This window comes from Homo sapiens, chromosome 12 (assembly GCF_000001405.40).
Source record: "Homo sapiens chromosome 12, GRCh38.p14 Primary Assembly".
Taxonomy (NCBI): Eukaryota; Metazoa; Chordata; class Mammalia; order Primates; family Hominidae; genus Homo; species Homo sapiens.
The window spans coordinates 6,874,856-6,894,783 of NC_000012.12; the positions used below are offsets into that span (position 1 = coordinate 6,874,856).

The window sequence follows — 19,928 nt, forward strand, 5'->3', positions numbered from 1 at the left end:
GGCAAACATGCCAGCTGTGGGACCAGACTCCCCGGGCATGAATACCTGAAGGCCAGTGTGTGTATGACCTTGGGCAAATTACTGAACCTCCCTGTGCCTGTTTCTTCCTCTGTAAGACAGAGATCACATTAGTATCTATTGCATGGGGTTGGTAGTGAGAATCCAATGAGGTTATAGATGTAACACATTTGGAAGAGTTTCTGGTTCGCATTTAATGATTTGTGCTAAGCACTGGAGATTAAGCAGTGAATCCTTAAGGAGGTTACAAAGACTTTTATAAAATAATGTATCATGTAGTAATAGTAAATAAAATTATGGAGATATAAAGAAAGTACTATAGGAGTAAAAAGAATAGGACTCCTATCCGGGGTTCAAGCAGTTAGGAAAGGAGCATCTCCAAAAGAGGTTCACACCTGGGCTGAATCTTTTCATGTCCTAGAAGAGGTTCACACCTTCACACTGGGCTGAATCTTTCTCTTTTTTTTTTTGAGACGGAGTCTAAGCTCTGATGCCTAGGCTGGAGTGCAGTGGCGTGATCTCAGCTCACCTCTGCCTCCTGGGGTCAAGTGATTCTCCTGCCTCAGCCTCCCAAGTAGCTGGGACTACAAGCGTGCACCACCATGCCTGGCTAATTTTTGTATTTTTAGTAGAGACAGGGTTTCACTATGTTGCCCAGGCTGGCCTCGAACTCCTGACCTCGTGATCTGCCCGCCTCGGCCTCCCAAAGTGCTGGGGTTACCGGCATGAGCCACCGCGCCCAGCCTGGGCTGAATCTAAAAGGATGACCAGGAATTGGCCTGAGACGAGCCACTTCTCTGCAGTATGGAGGTTGGGTTACGGTTGCTGCATGTAGAAGATATTCCAGACAGAAGAGTCCGCATGAAAAAAAGCAAGAAGCAGCAGGTGGGTTTGGGGAAGTACGATATCTTCAAGGTTGCTACAGCCAGAAAGGAAGCATGAGAAGGGCCAGATAAGTAGACAGCAAGTCACAGAGGCCTTCTAGGCTGAGTTAAGGAATGCAAATGTTTTCCCATAGGACAGGCCAGTGATGGGGAGCCACTGTAGGATAGAAGAAGAGAGGAACATGGTCAGATAGGCATTTGATTTATTTATATATTTTGAGCCAGGGTCTCACTTTGTCACCCAGGCTGGAGTGGAGTAGCGTGATCACGACTCATGGCAGCCACAACCTCCTGAGCTCCGCTGATCCTCCTACCTCAGCCTCCTGAGTAGCTGGGACTACAGGTGCATACCGCCATGCCGAGCTAATTTATTTTTATTTTTTTAATTTACAAATTATTATTTCTTAATTTTTAAAATAGAGACAGAGTCTCAGTCTGTTGCCCAGGCTGGTCTCGAACTCCTGAGTCAAGCGATCCTCCTGCCTCAGCATCCCAAAGTACTGGGATTACAGGCGTGAGCCACTGTGCCTGGCCAGATCTGCATTTTAGAAAAACCACCCTGGCAGCAACATAGAGGAGCTTCAAGGGAAATAGAACTGGAAGTTGGCTGGGCGCGATGGCTCACACCTGTAATCCCAGCACTTTGGAAGGCTGAGATGGGCGAATCACCTGAGGTTTGGAGTTCGAGACCAGCCTGGCCAACATGGAGAAACCCTGTCTCTACTAAAAATACAAAATTAGCCGGGCATGGTGGAGCATGCCTGTAATCCCAGCTACTCAGGAGGTTGAGGCAGGAGAATTGCTTGAACCTGGGAGGTGGAGGTTGCGGTGAGCCGAGATCACGCCATTGCACTCCAGCCTGGGCAACAAGAGTGAAACTCTGTCTCAAAAAAAAAAAAAAAAAAGGACTGGAAGCAAAGACACCATTTCCAGCAGCCCAGGTGACAAGTGTCAACAGCCTGAAATAGGACAGTAGAAATAAGGATGAAAATAATTCAAGAAACACTGATGAAACGGCAAGATTTGGTGACTGATTAGATATGGAGTTGAGGCTGGGCACAGTGGCTCACGCCTGTAATCCCAGCACTTTGGGAGGCCGAGGCAGGCGGATCACCTGAGGTTGGGAGTTTGAGACCAGCCTGGCCAACATGGTGAAACCCTGTCTCTACTAAAAATACAAAAATTAGCTGTGTGTGGTGGTGGGCACCTGTAATCCCAGCTACTTCGGAGGGTGAAGCAGGAGAATTGCTTGAACCAGGGAGGTGGAGGCTGCAGTGAGCCGAGATGGCGCTACCGCACTCCAGCCTGGGCGACAGAGCAAGACTCCATCTCAAAAAAAAAAAAAAAAAAAAAAGAGAAAGGGAAGTTTCTAGCCTGGAAAAATTGATTGGAAGGTGGTGCCACCAATCAAGATGGAGATGACAGAAAGAGGAGTAATTGAGGGCAGGGGCAGGAGGGTGGGAGAGGGAGATGGTGAGTTCAGTTTAGGATATGTTTTTGAGGTGTCTGAGCCACAAGCAAATGGAACCATCCAGAACACACAAGAAAATGGCAGGTCTGGAGGCAGAATGAGAGGCCTGGGCTGGAGACAGGGATTTGGGAGGTGTGTCAGTCTTTAGTCAGGAGTTGAACTATGAGAATGAGTGAGTGAAATATGGGCGATGGGGACAAAGAGAGTGTGGAGCAACAGAAGGGTCAAGGAGAATAGAACAAGGTAGAAAATTCAGTTTTGATTACTTACAAGATTGTTTTGGTCAGAGGTCACTGGCAACCTTGGTGAGAGACAGCACATGTGGGGACTGGTAGGTGGAACTCCAGGCTGAAGGGGCTGGACTGTCACAAGCTTTACATTTTGAAGGAATAGAAAATGAGGAGAAGTAAATTACAATTATGTCACATAGTTAAAGTTACCCTTGGAAATCCCTTAGTAGGCTGGGTGCAGTGGCTCATTCCTGTAATCCCACCACTTTGAGAGGCTGAAGCAGGAGCTTGAGCCCAGGAGTTTGAGACCAGCCTGGAAGACTAGTGAGACCCCATCTCTACCAAATAATAATAATAAAATAGGCCGGACGCGGTGGCTGACGCCTGTAATCCCAGCACTTTGGGAGGCCGAGGCGTGTGGATCACCTGAGGTCAGGAGTTCAAGACCAGCCTGGCCAACATGGTGAAATCCCGTCTCTACTAAATATACAAAAAAAAAAAAATTAGCCAGGCGTGGTGGTGTGCACCTGTAATCCCTCAGCAGGAGAATTGTTTGAACCCAGGAGGCGGAGGTTGCAGTGAGTCAGGATGGCGCCACTGCACTCCAACATGGGCGACAGAGTGATACTCCATCTCAGAAAACAAAACAAAAAAATAAAATAGGCTGGGCATGGTGGCTCATGCCTGTAATCTCAGCACTTTGGGAGGCCGAGGCAGGTGGATCACTTGAGGTCAGGAGTTCGAGACCAGCCTGGCCAACATGGTGAAACCCCGTCTCTACTAAAAATACAAAAATTAGCTGGGCGTGGTGGCATGTGCCTATAATCCCAGCTACGCAGGAGGCTGAGGAAGGAGAATCGTGCCTGTAATCCCAGCTACTCAGGAGGCTGAGGCAGAAGAACCCGCAAGGCAGAGGTTGCAGTGAGCCAAGATCCTGCCACTGCACTCCAGCCTGGCGACAGAGCAAGACTCCGTCTCAAAAAATAAAGTAAAATAAAATAAAAATAATTGAGGACCACAAGAACTAGGAAAAAAAGAAAAAAGAAAAAAGAAAGGCCGAGGCAGGCAGATCACCTGAGGTCGGGAGTTTGAGGCCAGCCTGACCAACATGGAGAAACCTCGTCTCTACTAAAAATACAAAAATCAGCTAGGCATGGTGGCACATGCCTGTAATCCCAGCTACTCGGGAGGCTGAGGCAGGAGAATCGCTTGAACCTGGGAGGCAGAGGTTGTGGTGAGCTGAGATTGAGCCATTGCACTCCAGCCTGGACAACAAGAGCGAAACTCCATCTCAAAAAAAAAAAAAAAAAGAAAAAGAAAATCCCTCAGTTACTGCATCTGTTAGGTGAGCATATATTCGTTTGTGTAAAAATCACTATGTGGCTGTATATATATATATATATATATATATATATATATATATATATATATATATATATATAAAATGATGTACAAAATATTTTATAATGTTTTAAAGAGGAAGAAGAAAGCAGCACACTAAGAAGTAACTCAGGAATGGAAAACCAAACATCATATGTTCTCATAAGTGGGAGCTAAGCCATGAGAATGCAGAGGCATAAGAATGACACAATGGACCTTGGGTACTCAGGGGGAAAGGGTGGGAAGAGGTGGAGGGATAAAAGACTATAAATAGCGTTCAGTGTATACTGCTTGGGTGATGGGTGCACCAAAATCTCACAAATCACCACGAAAGAACTTACTCATATAACCAAACACCACCTGTTCCCCAATAACCTATGAAAATAAAATAATAATAAAAAGAAGAAGAAAGCATACTAAAATAAAGATATGAACCTGAAACTTGTCATCCACCCAACCTGGATATGCTTGCCAGTATGTGACATCAATAATAACATCATGACTGTAAGACCAGGCACAGTGGCTCACACCTGTAATCCCAGCACTTTGGGAGGCCAAGGTGGGCCGATTTGAGATCAGAAGTTGAAGACCAGCCTGGGCAGCATGATGAAACCCCGCCTCTACAAAAAATACAAAAAATTAGCCAGGCTTTGGTGGCTTGCGCCTGCCATCCCAGCTACTCAAGAGGCTGAGGCAAGAGAATCCCTTGAGTCTAGAATTGGAGGTTGCGGTGAGCCAAGATCAGGCCACTGCACTCCAGCCTGGGTGACAGAGCGAGACCCCGTCTCAAAAAATAAATAACATCATGACTGTGGGTGGCAGCCTATGATGAATAGTAGTGAAGGACCCATGTGATAACCAAGGCCTGGGGACAGAGAACAGTGCCTGCCCCATGGCTAGCTCTAGCTCAGCTTGAGAATTTAATCACGCCTGTGCTGCTGATGCTGCTGCTGCTGCTGCTACTGGTTGTTTAAAACATGGTTGTTGGCCGGGCACAGTGGCTCACGCCTGTAATCCCACCACTTTGGGAGGCTGAGGCAGGCAGATCATCTGAGATAAGGAGTTCGAGACCAGCCTGGCCTACATGGTGAAACCCCGTCTCTACTAAAAAATACATAAAAATTAGCCAGGCCTACTGGCACGTGCCTGTAGTCCCAGCTACTCAGGAAGCCGAGGCAGAAGAACCACTTGAACCCAGGAGGCGGAGGTTGCAGTGAGCCGAGATTGCGCCACTGCACTCCAGTCTGGGCGACAGAGGGAGACTTTGTCTCAAAAAAAAAAAAAAAAGGTTGTTTTAAACAATTCATCAGTTGATGCCACTGAATCTGGAGCTGGTCAAACATTTGTTGCTAAAAGGTAAAAAATTTCGTAATGCTACAAGTAATTTAAATTTTTTACTTAAAAATTAAAAAAAAAAAAAAATTGGCCGGGCATGGTGGCTCACACCTGTAATCCCAGCACTTTGGGAGGCCGAGGCGGGTGGATCACAAGGTCAAGAGATCGAGACCATCCTGGCTTTAGTAGAGACAGTGAAACCCCGTCTCTACTAAAAATACAAAAAAAATTAGCCAGGCGTGGTGGTGGGCGCCTGTAGTCCCAGCTACTCGGGAGGCTGAGGCAAGAGAATGGCGTGAACCCTGGAGGCAGAGCTTGCAGTGAGCCAAGATCACGCCACTGCACTCCAGCCTGGGTGACAGAGCGACATTCCATCTCAAAAAAAAAAAAAAAATTATAGATGAGGTCTTGCTATTTTGCCCAGGCTGGACTCAAATTCCTGGGTTCAAGTAATCCCCCCAACCTCAGCCTCCCAAGTAGCTGAGACTACAGGCATGTGCCACAATGCCTTTTTACTTATTTTATTATTTTGTTGAGACAGGGTCTCAGTGTACTCCAGGCTGGAGTGCAGTGGCACGACCATGACTCACTGCAGCCTCACCCCAGCCTCCTGAGTAGCTAGGACTACAGGCACATGCCACCAGGCCTGGCTAATATTTAACTTTTCGTAGAGACAGGGACTCTCTCTATGTTGCCCAGGTTGATCTCAAACTCCTGTACTCAAGCAATTCTCCTGCCTCGTCCTCCCAAAGTGCTGGGATTACAGGCATGAGCCACCATGCCTGGCTGTTTTTAAATTTTTATATATATATATTTTGAGACAAGGTCTGGCTCTGTTGCCCAGGCTGGAGTGCAGTGCACGATCTCGGCTCACTGCAACCTCTGCCTTCTGGGTTCAAGCAACTTTCCCGCCTCAGCCTCTGGAGTAGCTGGGACAACAGGCGCCCCGCCAGCATGCCTGGATAATTTTTTTGTATGCTTTTATAAAGACAGGGTTTCACCATGTTGCCCAGGTTGGTCTCGAACTCCTGGGCTCAAGCAATCCACCCATCTTGGTCTCTCAAAATATTGTGATTACAGGGGTGAGCCACTGCGATCGGTCCTTTTAAAAAAAAAGTCCCCTCCCACCACTGCCGTTTTTACTTTTTGATTGAGATGTAGCATATATAAAGCACACTAATCTTAAATTGCCCAGTGAACTTTTACATACATATACACTTGGGTGACAACCACCAAAAAGATCAAGATAAAGAATCCAGCTGGCTGGGCACGGTGGCTCACACCTATAATCCCAGTACTTTGGGAGGCTAAGGCAGGGGATCACTTGAGCTCAAGAGTTCTGAGATGAGCCTGGGCAACATAGGGAGACCTCGTCTCTACTAAAAATTCAAAAAAGTTAGCTGGGTGTGGTGGTGCACGCCTCTAGTCCCAGTTACTCTGGTGGGCTGAGGTCGGAGGACTGCTTGAGGCTGCAGTGAGCCCTGACCATGCCCACTGCACTCCAGCCTGAGTGACAGAGCTGGATGCTGTCTTAAAAAAACAAAAACAAGGCCGGGCGCGGTGGCTCACGCCTGTAATCCCAGCACTTTGGGAGGCCGAGGCGGGTGGATCACGAGGTCAGGAGATCGAGACCATCCTGGCTAACACGGTGAAACCCCGTCTCTACTAAAAATACAAAAAATTAGCCGGGCGTGGTGGCGGGCGCCTGTAGTCCCAGCTACTCTGGAGGCTGAGGCAGGAGAATGGCGTGAACCCGGGAGGCGGAGCTTGCAGTGAGCCGAGATCGCGCCATTGCACTCCAGCCTGGGTGACAGAGCAAGACTCCATCTCAAAAAACAAACAAACAAACAAACAAACAAAAACACAAAAAAAGAATTCAGCATCTGTCTTGCTCTTTCCCTGATGATACATTCCCAAGGGTAGCTCCTATTAGACCCCCTATCAGTATAGATTAGTGTTGTCTGTTCTTCAATTTCATATAAATGGAATCATAATGTCAAATGCAGTGTCACTTGCCTCTAGTCACAGCTACTTGGAAGGCTGAGATGTGAAGACTACTTGAGCTCAGAAGTTCCACTGCACTCCAGCCTGGGTTACAGAGGGAAACCTTGTCTCTAAAAAAAAGAAAAAAGAAAGAAAGAAAAAGAAAACATAGTATGTATTCTTTGTGTCTTTCCAGCATTGTATCTGTAAGTCATCCATGTTCTTGCATGAAATAGCTCATAATTTTCATTGTCATATAGTATTCCATCATCTAAATATACCACAATATATCTATTGTACTGTTGATGGATTTTTTTTTTAAGACAGTCTTGCTCTCTCGCCCAGACAGGAGTGCAGTCGTGCGATCTCGACTCACTGCAACCTCCACCTCCCAGGTTCAAGCAATTCTCGTGCTTCAACCTCCTAAGTAGCTGGGACTTCAGGCATGTACTACAACGCCTGGATAATTTTTGTATTTTTAGTAGAGATGGGGTTTCACCATGTTGGCCAGGCTGGTCTCAAACTCCTGACCTCAGGTGATCCACCTGCCCCAGCCTCCCAAAGTGCTGGGATTACAGATGTGAGCCACTGTACTGGGCCTGTTAATGGATATTTAAATTGTTTCCAGTTTTCCACCATTATAAAGTTGCCATGTACATTACTGTACAAGTCTGTTAACAAAAGACCATGAGGCCTGCAGAAGAAAAACAAAGGAGAGCTTTATTTTTTGGAAAAAAAAAAAAAATTCCAAATTGGGGAATGCTGCTGGTTTACACACTGTTCACTGGAATAAAGTCTCTTCCCTCTGAATTCCTTTACAGCCTGTGATCCCAGTATTTTGGGAAGCTGAGATGGGAAGATCAGTTGAGGCCAGGAGTTGGGGACTAGCCTAGGTAGTATATCGAGACCTCCTTAGCCAATAATTTTTTTTTTCTGTTGCCCAGGCTGGAGTGCAATGGCACTATCTCGGCTCACTGCAACCTCTGCCTCCCGGGTTCAAGTGATTCTCCTGCCTCAGCCTCCCGAGTAGCTGGGATTACAGGCATGCGCCACCATGCCCAGCTAATTTTGTATTTTTAGTACAGACAGGGTTTCTCCATGTTGGTCAGACTGGTCTCGAACTCCCGATCTCAGGTGATTCACCCGCCTTGGCCTCCCAAAGTGCTGGGATTATAGGCATGAGCCACTGGGCCCGGCCAATAAAAAAATTTTTTAATTAGTTGGGTGATGGTGCACACCTGTAGTCCTAGTACTCAGGATGCCAAAGTGGGAGGATTGCTTGAGTCCAGGAGTTCAAGGCTGCAGGGGCTGCGAATGTGCCACTGCACTACAAACTGGGCAACAGAGTAAGACCCTGTCTTTTAAAACAAACAAACTAATAAACAAAACAAAACCAAATTCCTTTTCAGAGAACTTTTTTCACAAGTCTTTGGTGGAGCTAGGCATGCATTTTTCTTGGGTGCAAAACTATGTGCAGAATTGCTGGGTAATAAGGGATTACAACATATAGATTTAACCACATGCAATTTTCTGATTTCTTTCCATAGGGACATTTTATTCAGAAATTAAATCATTCAGAGTTCCAGCACTGTCGGGGGTCATCGGGCTCTGTCCACCGCCATAGGCCTAGCATTGTCACCAACGGAGCCATAGAGGGACCTCGGCCCAAGCTGGGGCCTCTTCATTGTCGAAGAAGGCCTCTTGCCAGACCAGGATCTGTGGGCGCGGCCAGGCTGGAGGACTAGGGCGGTGGCAGTGGCCAGGTGAGTGCACATGGCTGTGGGTGGTCCCTCAATTGCTCCCTCCTCTCTTTCGCTACCCCCTGGGCTGGAGGGAGGCAGGGCACCCAGCCGGAATGGCATGATCCTGAAGCCCAACTTCCACAAGGACTGGCAGTGGTGTGGCCATGTGGCTCAGCCAGCCCATGGGGCAGACCTGCAGAAGCAAGGTGGCCAGCAAAAGCAGGCTGCATGGCCCACTGATATGGGCCCATCCACCCATAGTAAGGTGCCCCATGCTGAGGCATCACTACAAAGCACAAGCTGGCAGGGGCCTCAGCTTGGAGGAGTTAAGGGTGGCTGGCATTTACAAGAAGGTGGCCCAGACCATTGGCATCTCTGAGGATGCAAGGAGGAGGAACCAGTCCACCCAGGCCCTGCAGGCCAAGGTGCAGAGGCTGAAGGAGGACCGCTCCTCACTCATCCTCTTCCCCAGGAAGCCCTTGGCCCCCAAGAAGGGAGACAGTTCTGCTGAAGAACTCGAACTGGATACTCAGCTGACAGGACCAGAAATGCCCATCGGCAATGTCTACAAGGAGAAAGCCAGAGTCATCGCTGACTAGGAGGAAAACTTCCAGGCCTTGTTAGTCTCTGTATGGCCCATGCAAATGCCCAGCTCTTCGGCATATAGGCACAAAGAGCCAAGGAAGCTGTAGAAGAGGACGCTTAAAAAAAAAAAAAACGGGTAGGCTCGAGCCGCTGCATCAGCTTCGCGCTGGGTCTCTCGGTCCCGCAGCCATGAGGAGGACGCTGCCCAGACTCACTACCCGCCCTCTCAGTCCCGCAGCCACGAGGAGGACGCTGCCCAGACTCACTACCCGCCGGCTCCCTCCCCCGCGTCCCTGTGGTGGTGGGCGAAGATGACCTGTTGTGCATCAGATGCCTTTGAGACATACAACTGGAGATGTGAGATAGGAAATTGAATGTAAAGACTGGAAGCTCGGCAGAGCAGAACTCTGAACAACGTGCCTCAGGAGTGCAAGTTGCTGATGAAGTGTGTCGCATTTTTTATGACATGAGAGTTCGTAAATGCTCCACACCAGAAGAAATCAAGAAAAGAACAAAGGCTGTCATTTTTTTGTCTCAGTGCAGACAAAAAGTGCATCATGTAGAAGGCAAAGAGATCTTGGTTGGAGATGTTGGTGTAACTATAAGTGAGCCTTTCAAGCATTTTGTGGGAATGCTTCCTGAAAAAGATTGTTGCTATGCTTTGTATGATGCAAGCTTTGAAACAAAAGAATCCAGAAGAATTGATGTTTTCTTGTGGGCATCAGAACTAGCACCTTTGAAAAGTAAAATGATCTATACAAGCTCCAAGGATGCAATCAAAAAGAAATTTCAAGGCATAAAACATGAATGGCAAACAAACGGACCAGAAGATCTCAATCGGGCTTGTACTGCTGAAAAGTTAGGTGGATCCTTTTTTTTTTTTTTTGAGATGGAGTCTTGATCTGTCGCCCAGGCTGGAGTGCAGTGACAGGATCTCGGCTCACTGCAACCTCTGCCTCCCGGGTTCAAGTGATTTTCCTGCCCAGCCTCCTGAGTAGCTGGGATTATAGCGTGCGCCACCACACCTGGCTAATTTTTGTATTCTTAGTAGAGTCAGGGTTTCACCATATTGGTCAGGCTGGTCTCGAACTCCTGACCTCGTGATTTGCCCTCCTTGGCCTCCCAAAGTGCTGGGATTACAGGCGTGAGCCAGCATGCCTGGCCAGTGGATCCTTAATTGTAGCCTTTGAAGGATGCCCTGTGTAGATCATCATTCAGTGCCACAAATTGAAAGCTTCCACGTTTAATGTTATCCTCTTGCTATATAAATAAAGCAAATATATTTAGGCCAGGGTCTCACTGAGGGGAGCTGTCTTGTCATCTTTTAGAGTAAACTAAATACTCTATAAACATATGCAAACAGCCCTAAATATATCTGTAGGGGTGGGTTGCCCCTCCACACCTGTGGGTGTTTCTCGTAAGGTGGGACGAGAGACTTGGGAAAGAAAAAGACACAAAGTATAGAGAAAGAAATAAGGGGACCCGGGGAAGCAGCGTTCAGCATATGGAGGATCCTGCCAGCCTCTGAGTTCCCTTAGTATTTATTAATCATTTGTGGGTGTTTCTCGAAGAGGGGGATGTGTCAGGGTCACAAGACAATTGTGGGGAGAGGGTCAGCAGACAAACACGTGAACAAAGGTCTTTGCATCATAGACAATGTAAAGGATTAAGTGCTGTGCTTTTAGATATGCATACACATAAACATCTCAATGCTTTACAAAGCAGTATTGCTGCCCGCAGGTCCCACCTCCAGCCCTAAGGCGGTTTTTCCCTATCTCAGTAGATGGAGCATACAATCGGGTTTTATACCAAGACATTCCATTGCCCAGGGACAGGCAGGTGACAGATGCCTTCCTCTTGTCTCAACTGCAAGAGGCATTCCTTCCTCTTTTACTAATCCTCCTCAGCACAGAACCTTTACGGGTGTCGGGATGGGGGATGGTCAGGTCTTTCCCTTCCCACGAGGCCATATTTCAGACTATCATATGGGGAGAAACCTTGGACAATACCTGGCTTTCCTAGGCAGAGGTCCCTGCGGACTTCCGCAGTGTTTGTGTCCCTGGGTACTTGAGATTAGGGAGTGGTGATGACTCTTAAGGAGCATGCTGCCTTCAAGCATCTGTTTAACAAAGCACATCTTGCACCGCCCTTAATCCATTTAACTCTGAGTTGACACAGCACATGTTTCAGAGAGCACGGGGTTGGGGGTAAGGTTATAGATTAACAGAATCTCAAGGCAGAAGAATTTTTCTTAGTACAGAACAAAATGGAGTCTCCTATGTCTACTTCTTTCTACACAGACACAGTAACAATCTGATCTCTTTTGCTTTTCCCCACATATATCTAAAGTCTAAAGTTGTTTTTTTAAAAAAAAAAAAGAAAAGAAAAGAAAAGAAAAAAGAAAATAGCCAGGCGCGGTGCTCACGCCTGTAGTTCTAGCACTTTGGGAGGCGAAAGTGGGTGGATTGTTTGAGCTCAGGAGTCCAAGACCAGCCTGGGCATCACGGTGAAACCCCATCTCTACTTTAAATATACAAAAAATTAGCCAGGCATGGCGGCGTGTGCCTGTAGTCCTGGCTACGAGGGAGGCTGAGGCAGGAGAATTGCTTGACCCTGGGAGGCAGAGGTTGCAGTGAGCCGAGATTGTGCCACTGAACTCCAGCCTGGGCCACAGAGCAAGACTCTGTCTCAAAAAAAAAAAAGAAAAGAAAAGAAAAGAAAAAAAATAAAGCCCTGTTGAGGACTTGTAATATATCAGGAATAATGCAAAAAAAAAATTATTCAGACATTTTGCAGCATGAAACACTTCAGTAAATTTATGAAGCTTTAGTTTGGTCTTTTCCTTTTTCTCCTGAGGGTGATTTTTATCAGTTCCTCAAGATTTTTTATTAGTGTTTCTCTGTGGCTCTCAAAAACTTCTTTATTTTTATGATTATTTCCTTATATTTTAGAGACTGGGTCTTACTCTGTCACACAGGCTGGAGTGCAGTGGCGAAGTAGCTCACTGTCACCTTGAGCCATGATCAAGGGATCCTCGGCTTCAGTCCCTCAAAGTGCTGGGATTACTGGCATGAGCCACCATACCTGGCCAGGCCAAGAAGTTCTTTACTTTCTTCCTCAATGATGTATAAACAAAGCCATCACGATCCACTTGCTAGGCGACTTGCACAATGAGTTTCACTTCTTTGTCAATAGAAACCCTTGGCCAGGCGCGGTGCTCACGCCTGTAATCCCAGCACTTTAGGAGGCCGAGGTGGGTGTATCAGTTGAGGTCAGGAGTTCAAGACCAGCCAGGCCAACATGGTGAAATAATACTAATAATGTAAAATAATATCTCTACTAATAATACAAAAATTAGCCAGGCATGGTGGCACATGCCTGTAATCCCAGCTACTTGGGAAGGTGAGGCAGGAGAATTGCTTGAACATGGGAGGTGGAGGTTGCAGTGAGCTGAGATCACACCACTGCATTCCCGTCTGGGCAACAGAGCAAGACTCTGTCTCAAAACACAAAAAACAAAAAAAAAAAAGAGAAAGAAACCCTTAAAATTCTGAACACATTCCACATGCATTGACTGTCAGGCTTCGTTGCTTCCATTACCTGTTTGTTTGTTTGTTTGTTTATTTATTTATTTATTGAGACAGGGTCTTGCTGTATCACCCAGGCTGGAGTGCAGTAGCATGAGCATGGCTCACTGCAGCCTCAACTTTCCCAGGCACAGGTGATCCTCCTGCCTGCACCTCCTGAGTAGCTGGGACTACAGGTGCACACCACCACGTTCAGCTAATTTTCTGCAGAGATGAGGTCTTGCCATGTTGCCCAGGCTGGTCTTGAACTCTTGGACTCAAGAGATCTGCAGCCTCCCAAAGTGCTGGGATTACAGGCGTGAGACACCACACCTGGCCTCCCATTGCCTGTTTAAATAGAAATGATGCAACTAGCAATATGGAAGGACTTCCAGATCTTTACCACATTAAGATTAGGGTCAGCATCCATGGCTCTGGGAGTCAAGGGAGAATCTCAGCCTAATGTATGTGGCTTTGAAACAGCAAATAATGCTTAGATCAGCAGAGTGAAGGATGGAGTCATGTTGGGACAGGAAACCTTCATTCAGCGCCTTTATGAGCACATTCATAAAGTGTGTGGTACATCAGTGTGGTATTGTTGTGTCCTGCAGCACAAAGCCAGATTTTTTCTCTTTGAGGTCCTGCTTGACTTCTAGAATGAAGATATTTGAAACTGAATCAGGGAAAGTACTACAGTCACCCAGGACTTTGCATTTGATTGCTAGAGCACAGGCAGGTTTTTGTTTGTTTGTTTTTTTTGACAGTCTCGCTCTGCAGCCGCGGCTGGAGTAAAGTGGCTCAATCTCTGCTCACTGCAAACTCTCCCTCCCAGGTTCAAGCAATTCTGTCTCAGCCTCCCGAGTAGCTGGGATTACAGGGGTGTGCCACCATGCCTGGCTAATTTTTGTATTTTTAATAGAGATGGGGTTTCACTGTGTTGGCCAGGCTGTCTTGAACTCCTGACCTCAAGTGCTCTGCCCATCTCAGCCTCCCAAAGGCTGGGATTACAGGTGTGAGCCACCGTACCGCCGTTTTTTGTTTGTTTGTTTTGTTTTTTTTTTTAAAGGGCACCAGGATTTGTAGAATGACAGCCCTGTAGAACTACACTGCCCCTGCACTTGGGGGCAAGGGCAAAGGGTGGAGGGGAATAGCATTCAGAAGATCATGAGTTGCTTTCAAACCAGGGCCTTGTGTTTCTAGTTTGGAAATATTAAATGCAGTTGGGCATCTTTCCCCAGAAGATAGCAACCACTAACCTCATGGTATTCTGGAAGATGGCCTTTTCACCAGTAATTTTTCTTTTTTTTGAGATGGAGTCTTGCGCTGTTGTCCAGGCTGCAGTGCAGTGGCACGATCTTGACTCACTGCAACCTTTGCCTCCTGGGTTCAAGCAATTCTTCTGCCTCAGCCTCCGAGTAGCCGGGATTATAGTGCCCATCACCATGCCCGGCTAATTTTTGTATTATTAGTAGAGACGGCATTTCACCATGTTGGCCAGGCTGGTCTCGAACTCCTGACCTCATGATCCACCTGCCTTGGCCTCCCAAAGTGCTGGGATTACAGGCGTGAGCCACCGTGCCTGGCCTATGCCAATAAACCTTTCTAATAGCTCTGAGTGGGTTGTGCTGTCTGTTCCTCTACAGACACATCTCACCAATAGTTTGTGTGTTTTTGAGGTTTAAATGGGCTTCTAAAATCATTATGCCATCCTTGGCTGGTTTTGAAATCTTTCCATCCAAAGGCTGACTTCTCTAGTAGGAGGTTTGAACTATGACTTGAGATGAAGAGTTTTTTTCTTCTCTTTTTTTGCCACGTCTTGCCATTGTAAGGCACATATTTCTTTTTGGTTTTCTTTCTTTTTAATATATAGAGGCAGGGTCTTGCTCTGTTGTCCAGGCTGGAGTGCAGTGGTGCAATCATATCTCACTGCAGCCTACAACTCCTGGCCTCAAGAGGATTAGCTTCTGGTCTTGCCCTCCCAAAGGGCTGGGATTATAGGCCTGAGCCACTTGCACCTGGCCCAGACACATATTTCTGGTTTTTGTCTTTCGGTAATGTTTAGTGGCCTTTCTATTTTCTTTTTTCTTTTTTTTTGAGACGGAGTTTCGCTCTTGTTGCCCAAGCTGGAGTGCAATGGTGCAATCTCGGCTCACTGCAACCTCCGCCTCCTGGGTTCAAGTGATACTCTTGCCTCAGCCTCCTGAGTAGCTGGGATTACAGGCGTCCGTCACCACGCCCGGCTAATTTTTGCATTTTTAGTAGAGACGGGTTTTCGCTGTTTTAGCCAGGATGGTCTCGAATTCCTGACCTCAGGTGGACCACCCACCTCGGCCTCCCAAAGTGCTGGGATTCCAGGCGTGAGCCACCGCGCCCGGCCTGCCATTTTCATTAACCACATATCTTCGTTGTCACTTTAGCAGTTGTAGGAGAATCTGCTGACCTCGCTTCACAAATTTTTTGAATCTTGATTGAATGTACAGATTTTTTGAGGCCGTATTTTTTTTTTTTCCACTTTGGGGATAGACTTGTATGCTAGCATGGAAGGGAATTGTTTCTTCGGTTGAGTGCCTAAAGTGCTTGATGGCCTTTCAGATGGATCATGTCATACAGAAAGGAAGTATCTTAAAACACTACAATCTAGTTTAAGACATAAAACAGTAGAATCGCTGTCAGCGTCACAAGATACAAACGAAGGGCTCAGAACTGGGACCAAGAGAACATAGTCTCCCCATCTTACACTCGCTCGGAATGGGGGCTGGCCCCACTCTGCTCTATTTAATCTGAGCACTGTTGAATGAATCTGCGATGAAACTCCACATTTCCTTTAATCCTCACAACAAAGATAAACCAATTTTTAGATTCGTAAACTGAGGCTTAGAGAAGTTAAACGTATTGTCCGAGACTACAGAACTGGAAAATGGCAAAGTCAAGATCCAACTCCGAAGAGCCTCCCCCTGCCCACTAGCGGGGAGGAAATGGCAAATGACACAGCAAAAAATGTTTAAAACCAGGATTCTCGGTCGCCGTCCCGCCCAGCGCCAACGCTCCGTCCCGCCTCGCATCAACGCCTCGCTCCTCCCCGCCCAGCGCCAATGCCCCGCCCCGCGCAGCCGCCCAGGTGCCAGTTGCGTAACCACGGCAAAGCTCGCGGCAGGGGGCGGGGCAGACGCTGACTGTCGCCGGGCGGCGGTCACGTGAGCGGGAGCGCAGCAGGCCGGCGGTCCGAGTGCCTCGCGCGCGCCCCACAGCGGCCGCACGCGTCTCGGGCTCTCCTCCCAGTAGTTCACTCCTTAGTGGCTACAGAAACTGGAGCCCGCCATCGGGCTTTCCCCTGAACTGCAGCTTCCGTCCCCGCCAATCTCTTCTCCGGCCCCAGCGCTGACTTTCATGCGTGGAGCATTCTGGCCCGGAACAGAGATCCCAGGGCGGAAACTAGGGCCCGAGGCTGAAAGTCCGTTCTTGGCGGCGAGGGCCGCCGCTAAACTGGCTGCTGAGGGCGTCTCTAGCTCGGGTTCCAGAAGAGAGTGGAATGGACTGAGTGCTTGTGAGAAACTTCCTAATTGAGGCTTACCTACTAAAGTTCTTTACGTTTTAAAGGGTTCCATTGCATCAGCCCTCAAAATGTTTCCTTCCCCAGCCCTCTTTCTTCTATCATGGTGGTTATGTCTAGGGACTCTCCACTGGGAGACAATCATTTTGTTCTCCCCGAGGAGGGAGGTCAGAAGTGGGAGACACCCAGGTTGTGTTAGAAACTATGGTAGCTGGGGCGATGGCTCATGCCTGTGGTCCCAGCTACTCAGGAGGCTAGGGCAGGAGGATTGCTTGAGCCCTGGAGGTCGAGGCTGCAGTGAGCTATGATCACGCCTGTGAATACTCTGGGAGGATGGGTGACATAGCAAGACCCTTTCAAAAAGAGGAGAAAGAAACTGCAGCGTAAAGTAGCACACCTGTTACAAAGGTAAATGCTCTTTTGTCTATCCTTGCTATTTTTAAAAATACTCAATTTTTCCTAGTTTTCCTTTTTTGTTTTTTGAGACAGTCTCATTCGGACGCCCAGGCTGGAGTGCAGTGGCTTGAACTTGGTTCACTGCAACTTCCACTTCCCAGGTTCAAGCGATTCTGTTGCCTCAGCCTCCCGAGTAGCTGGGCTTACAGGCATGCGCCACCACGCCCAGCTCATTTTGTATTTTTAGTAGAGACGGGATTTCACCATGTTGGTCAGGTTGGTCTCGAACTCCTGACCTCAGGTGATCCGCCCGCCTCCGCCTCCCAAAGCGCTGGGATTAAATGCGTGAGCCACCGCGCCTGGCCCTAGTTTTCCTTTTGACATCCTTCCGAGCCTCTGTTTCTTGCTAGTTAATCCTAACAGGGTATCATGGAGGCTTGTCACTTGTTCACGACTTAGCAGTGATTCTCAACGTGGAGGGAGGTAAGGGGAGTTTATCTGTAAGGGCAAATCCAAATTGAGGGAGGGTGCTCTTGATTACTTTTTTTAAAAAAGCACATTTAGGCCAGGCATAGTGGCTCACTCCTGTAATACCAGCTACCCTGGAGGTTGAGGTGGGAGGATTGCTTGAGCCTGAGAGGTCCAGGCTGCAGTGAGCTGTGATCTCGCTATTACAGTTGAGCCTGGGTGACAGAGTGAGACCCTGTCTCAAAAAGAAAAAAAGTATCTATTGAACATTTACTGTGTGCTAGACACTGTGCCAGGCAGTAGGGTGCAGAGTGAAACTGAAGAACTCAAGATCTATTGGAGGCCAAGTGCAAGTTGCTCATGCCTGTAATCCTAGCACTTTGGGAGGCCAAGGCAGTCGGATCCCTTGAGGACAGGAGATTGAGACCAGCCTGGGCAACATAGGGAGACCCCCACCGCTACAAAAAAACTAGCCAGGCGTGTTGGTGCATGCCTGTAGTCCTAGCTACTTGGGAGGCTCAGGCAGGAGGATCACTTGAGTCTAGGAAGTCAAGGCTGCAGTGAGCCATGATTGTGCCACTGCACTCCAGCCTGAGTAACAGAGTGAGACCCTGTTGCAAAAAAAAAAAAAAAAAGAAAAAGAAAACAAGAAAAAGTTCTGTTTGGCAGTTCTGCAAGGATGACCCAAAGATTTTGATTTGAGCATCCGAAAGTGATATAGGTAACACTAAAGAAAAGCAGGCTGGGCGCAGTGGCTCATGCCTGTAATCCCAGCACTTTGGGAGGCTGAGGTGGGCAGATCACCTGAGGTCAGGAGTTCAAGACCAGCCTGGCCAACATAGTGAAACCCGGTCTCTACTAAAAATACAAAAATTAGCTGGGTATGGTGGCGGTCACCTGTAATCTCAGCTACTTGGGAGGCTGAGGCACGGGAATCACTTGAACTGGGAGGCAGAGGTTGCAGTGAGCCAAGATCATGCCACTGCACTCTAGCCTGGGCATCAAAGTGAGACTACATCTCAATAATAATAATTTGAATGTGAAAAATGGGACACACACACATGCACACACAAACAAACATACATCTGGTTTTGCAAACTCTATGGCTAGTAGATATACAAAGAAAGCCTTTTGAGTATCAGTGATTTGCAAGGAGCAGTGTATCAAGATACTTTGCATTGGCCAGGCATGGTGGCTCACGCCTGTAATCCCAGCACTTTGGGAGGCCAAAGCAGGCAGACCACCTGAGGCCAGGGGTTCAAGACCAGCCTGACCAACATGGTGAAACCCTGTCTCTACAAAAAATACAAAAAATTAGCTGGGTGTGGTGGTGAACGCCTGTAATCCCAGCTACTTGGAAGGTTGAGGCAGAAAAATCGCTTGAACCCAGGAGGCAGAGGTTTGCAGTAAGCCGAGATTGCTCCACTGTACTCTAGCCTAGGTGACAGAGCAAGACTCCCTCTCAAAAAAAAAAAAAAACAAAAAACACAAAAAACAAAAAACAAAAAAACTTTCTACTGAGTCATAAAAATTCTGAGGAAATGGTATTAAAGGGCATTTCATATGGACATTTATTATCTCACATAAAAATAAATCAGGAGGCTTCTGGAAAGTGGATGGTTCCTTGCTCTTATGAGACAGCAGTAAGAAAGGACTGTCAGTGGTCCCACTTGAGTCTCTGATAGCTATGTGCAGCCATCACATGACACTGGGAAGACTCAGTTACAGGAGAAGTCATCACTGTGGATTGCAGTCCTGGAAGACATGGTAGAGCTGAAGGATCAGCCAACTTTGAGACTCAGCTCTAGCTGCCTGTCTCCAGTGGCCTAATGGACATCTCTATGAGGATGTTTGATAGGGTTTGGCTCTGTGTCCCTACCCAAATTTGATCTCAAATTGTAGTCCCTGTAATCCTCACATCCAGGGAGGGACCTGGTGGGAGGTGACTGGATCTTGGGGGCGGTTTCCCCCATGCTGTTGTTGTGATAGTGAGTGAGTTCTCATGAGAGCTGATGGTTTTCTACGTGTTTGACAGTTCCTCCTTCACACTCTCTCGCCTGCTACCATGTAAGACATGGCTGCTTCTCCTTTTGCCATGATTGCAAAGTTCCTGAGGCCTCCCCAGCCATGCAGAACTGTGACTCAATTAAACCTCTTTTCTTTATAAATTACCCAGTCTTGGGCAGTTCTTTATAGGGTATGAAAACAGAGTAATACAGTGTTCCATTACCACTAACTAGTTGGATATATTCATCTTCTCCATGTCCTATGTCCATTCAGTTGCTGAGTCTTGTTGAGTCTTCCTCTCCATCCCTACCTC

The 19,928-nt window shown here is 47.5% G+C and overlaps 1 long non-coding RNA gene and 2 pseudogenes across 3 annotated transcripts, besides 5 other annotated features; 2 read left to right on the plus strand and 1 right to left on the minus strand.

The window, feature by feature from the left end:
- Positions 909-14,503, minus strand: LOC105369632 (uncharacterized). The gene is made up of 4 exons (NR_135083.1): positions 14,451-14,503; positions 7,335-7,432; positions 2,644-2,745; positions 909-1,059 (listed from the first exon to the last, which is right to left on the minus strand). It is a non-coding gene; the product is annotated as an uncharacterized LOC105369632 (long non-coding RNA).
- Positions 8,555-9,103: an enhancer, noted in NCBI's record as "H3K4me1 hESC enhancer chr12:6992574-6993122 (GRCh37/hg19 assembly coordinates)". NCBI's record gives its function as "activates a minimal SCP1, AML or CMV promoter by ChIP-STARR-seq in primed H9 embryonic stem cells {active_cell/tissue: H9 hESC(primed)}" and the evidence as "EXISTENCE:reporter gene assay evidence [ECO:0000049][PMID:30033119]".
- Positions 9,104-9,652: an enhancer, noted in NCBI's record as "H3K27ac-H3K4me1 hESC enhancer chr12:6993123-6993671 (GRCh37/hg19 assembly coordinates)". NCBI's record gives its function as "activates a minimal SCP1, AML or CMV promoter by ChIP-STARR-seq in primed H9 embryonic stem cells {active_cell/tissue: H9 hESC(primed)}" and the evidence as "EXISTENCE:reporter gene assay evidence [ECO:0000049][PMID:30033119]".
- RPL13P5 (ribosomal protein L13 pseudogene 5) lies at positions 9,126-9,759 on the plus strand (annotated as a pseudogene). The gene has a single exon (NR_002803.2). The product of NR_002803.2 is annotated as a ribosomal protein L13 pseudogene 5 (transcript).
- DSTNP2 (DSTN pseudogene 2) lies at positions 9,827-10,931 on the plus strand (annotated as a pseudogene). The gene has a single exon (NR_033796.2). The product of NR_033796.2 is annotated as a DSTN pseudogene 2 (transcript).
- Positions 11,299-11,846: an enhancer, noted in NCBI's record as "OCT4-NANOG-H3K27ac hESC enhancer chr12:6995318-6995865 (GRCh37/hg19 assembly coordinates)". NCBI's record gives its function as "activates a minimal SCP1, AML or CMV promoter by ChIP-STARR-seq in primed H9 embryonic stem cells {active_cell/tissue: H9 hESC(primed)}" and the evidence as "EXISTENCE:reporter gene assay evidence [ECO:0000049][PMID:30033119]".
- Positions 16,225-16,514: a silencer, noted in NCBI's record as "silent region_4191". NCBI's record gives its function as "represses an Ori minimal core promoter by ATAC-STARR-seq in GM12878 lymphoblastoid cells {active_cell/tissue: GM12878}" and the evidence as "EXISTENCE:reporter gene assay evidence [ECO:0000049][PMID:35858748]".
- Positions 16,782-17,329: an enhancer, noted in NCBI's record as "H3K27ac hESC enhancer chr12:7000801-7001348 (GRCh37/hg19 assembly coordinates)". NCBI's record gives its function as "activates a minimal SCP1, AML or CMV promoter by ChIP-STARR-seq in primed H9 embryonic stem cells {active_cell/tissue: H9 hESC(primed)}" and the evidence as "EXISTENCE:reporter gene assay evidence [ECO:0000049][PMID:30033119]".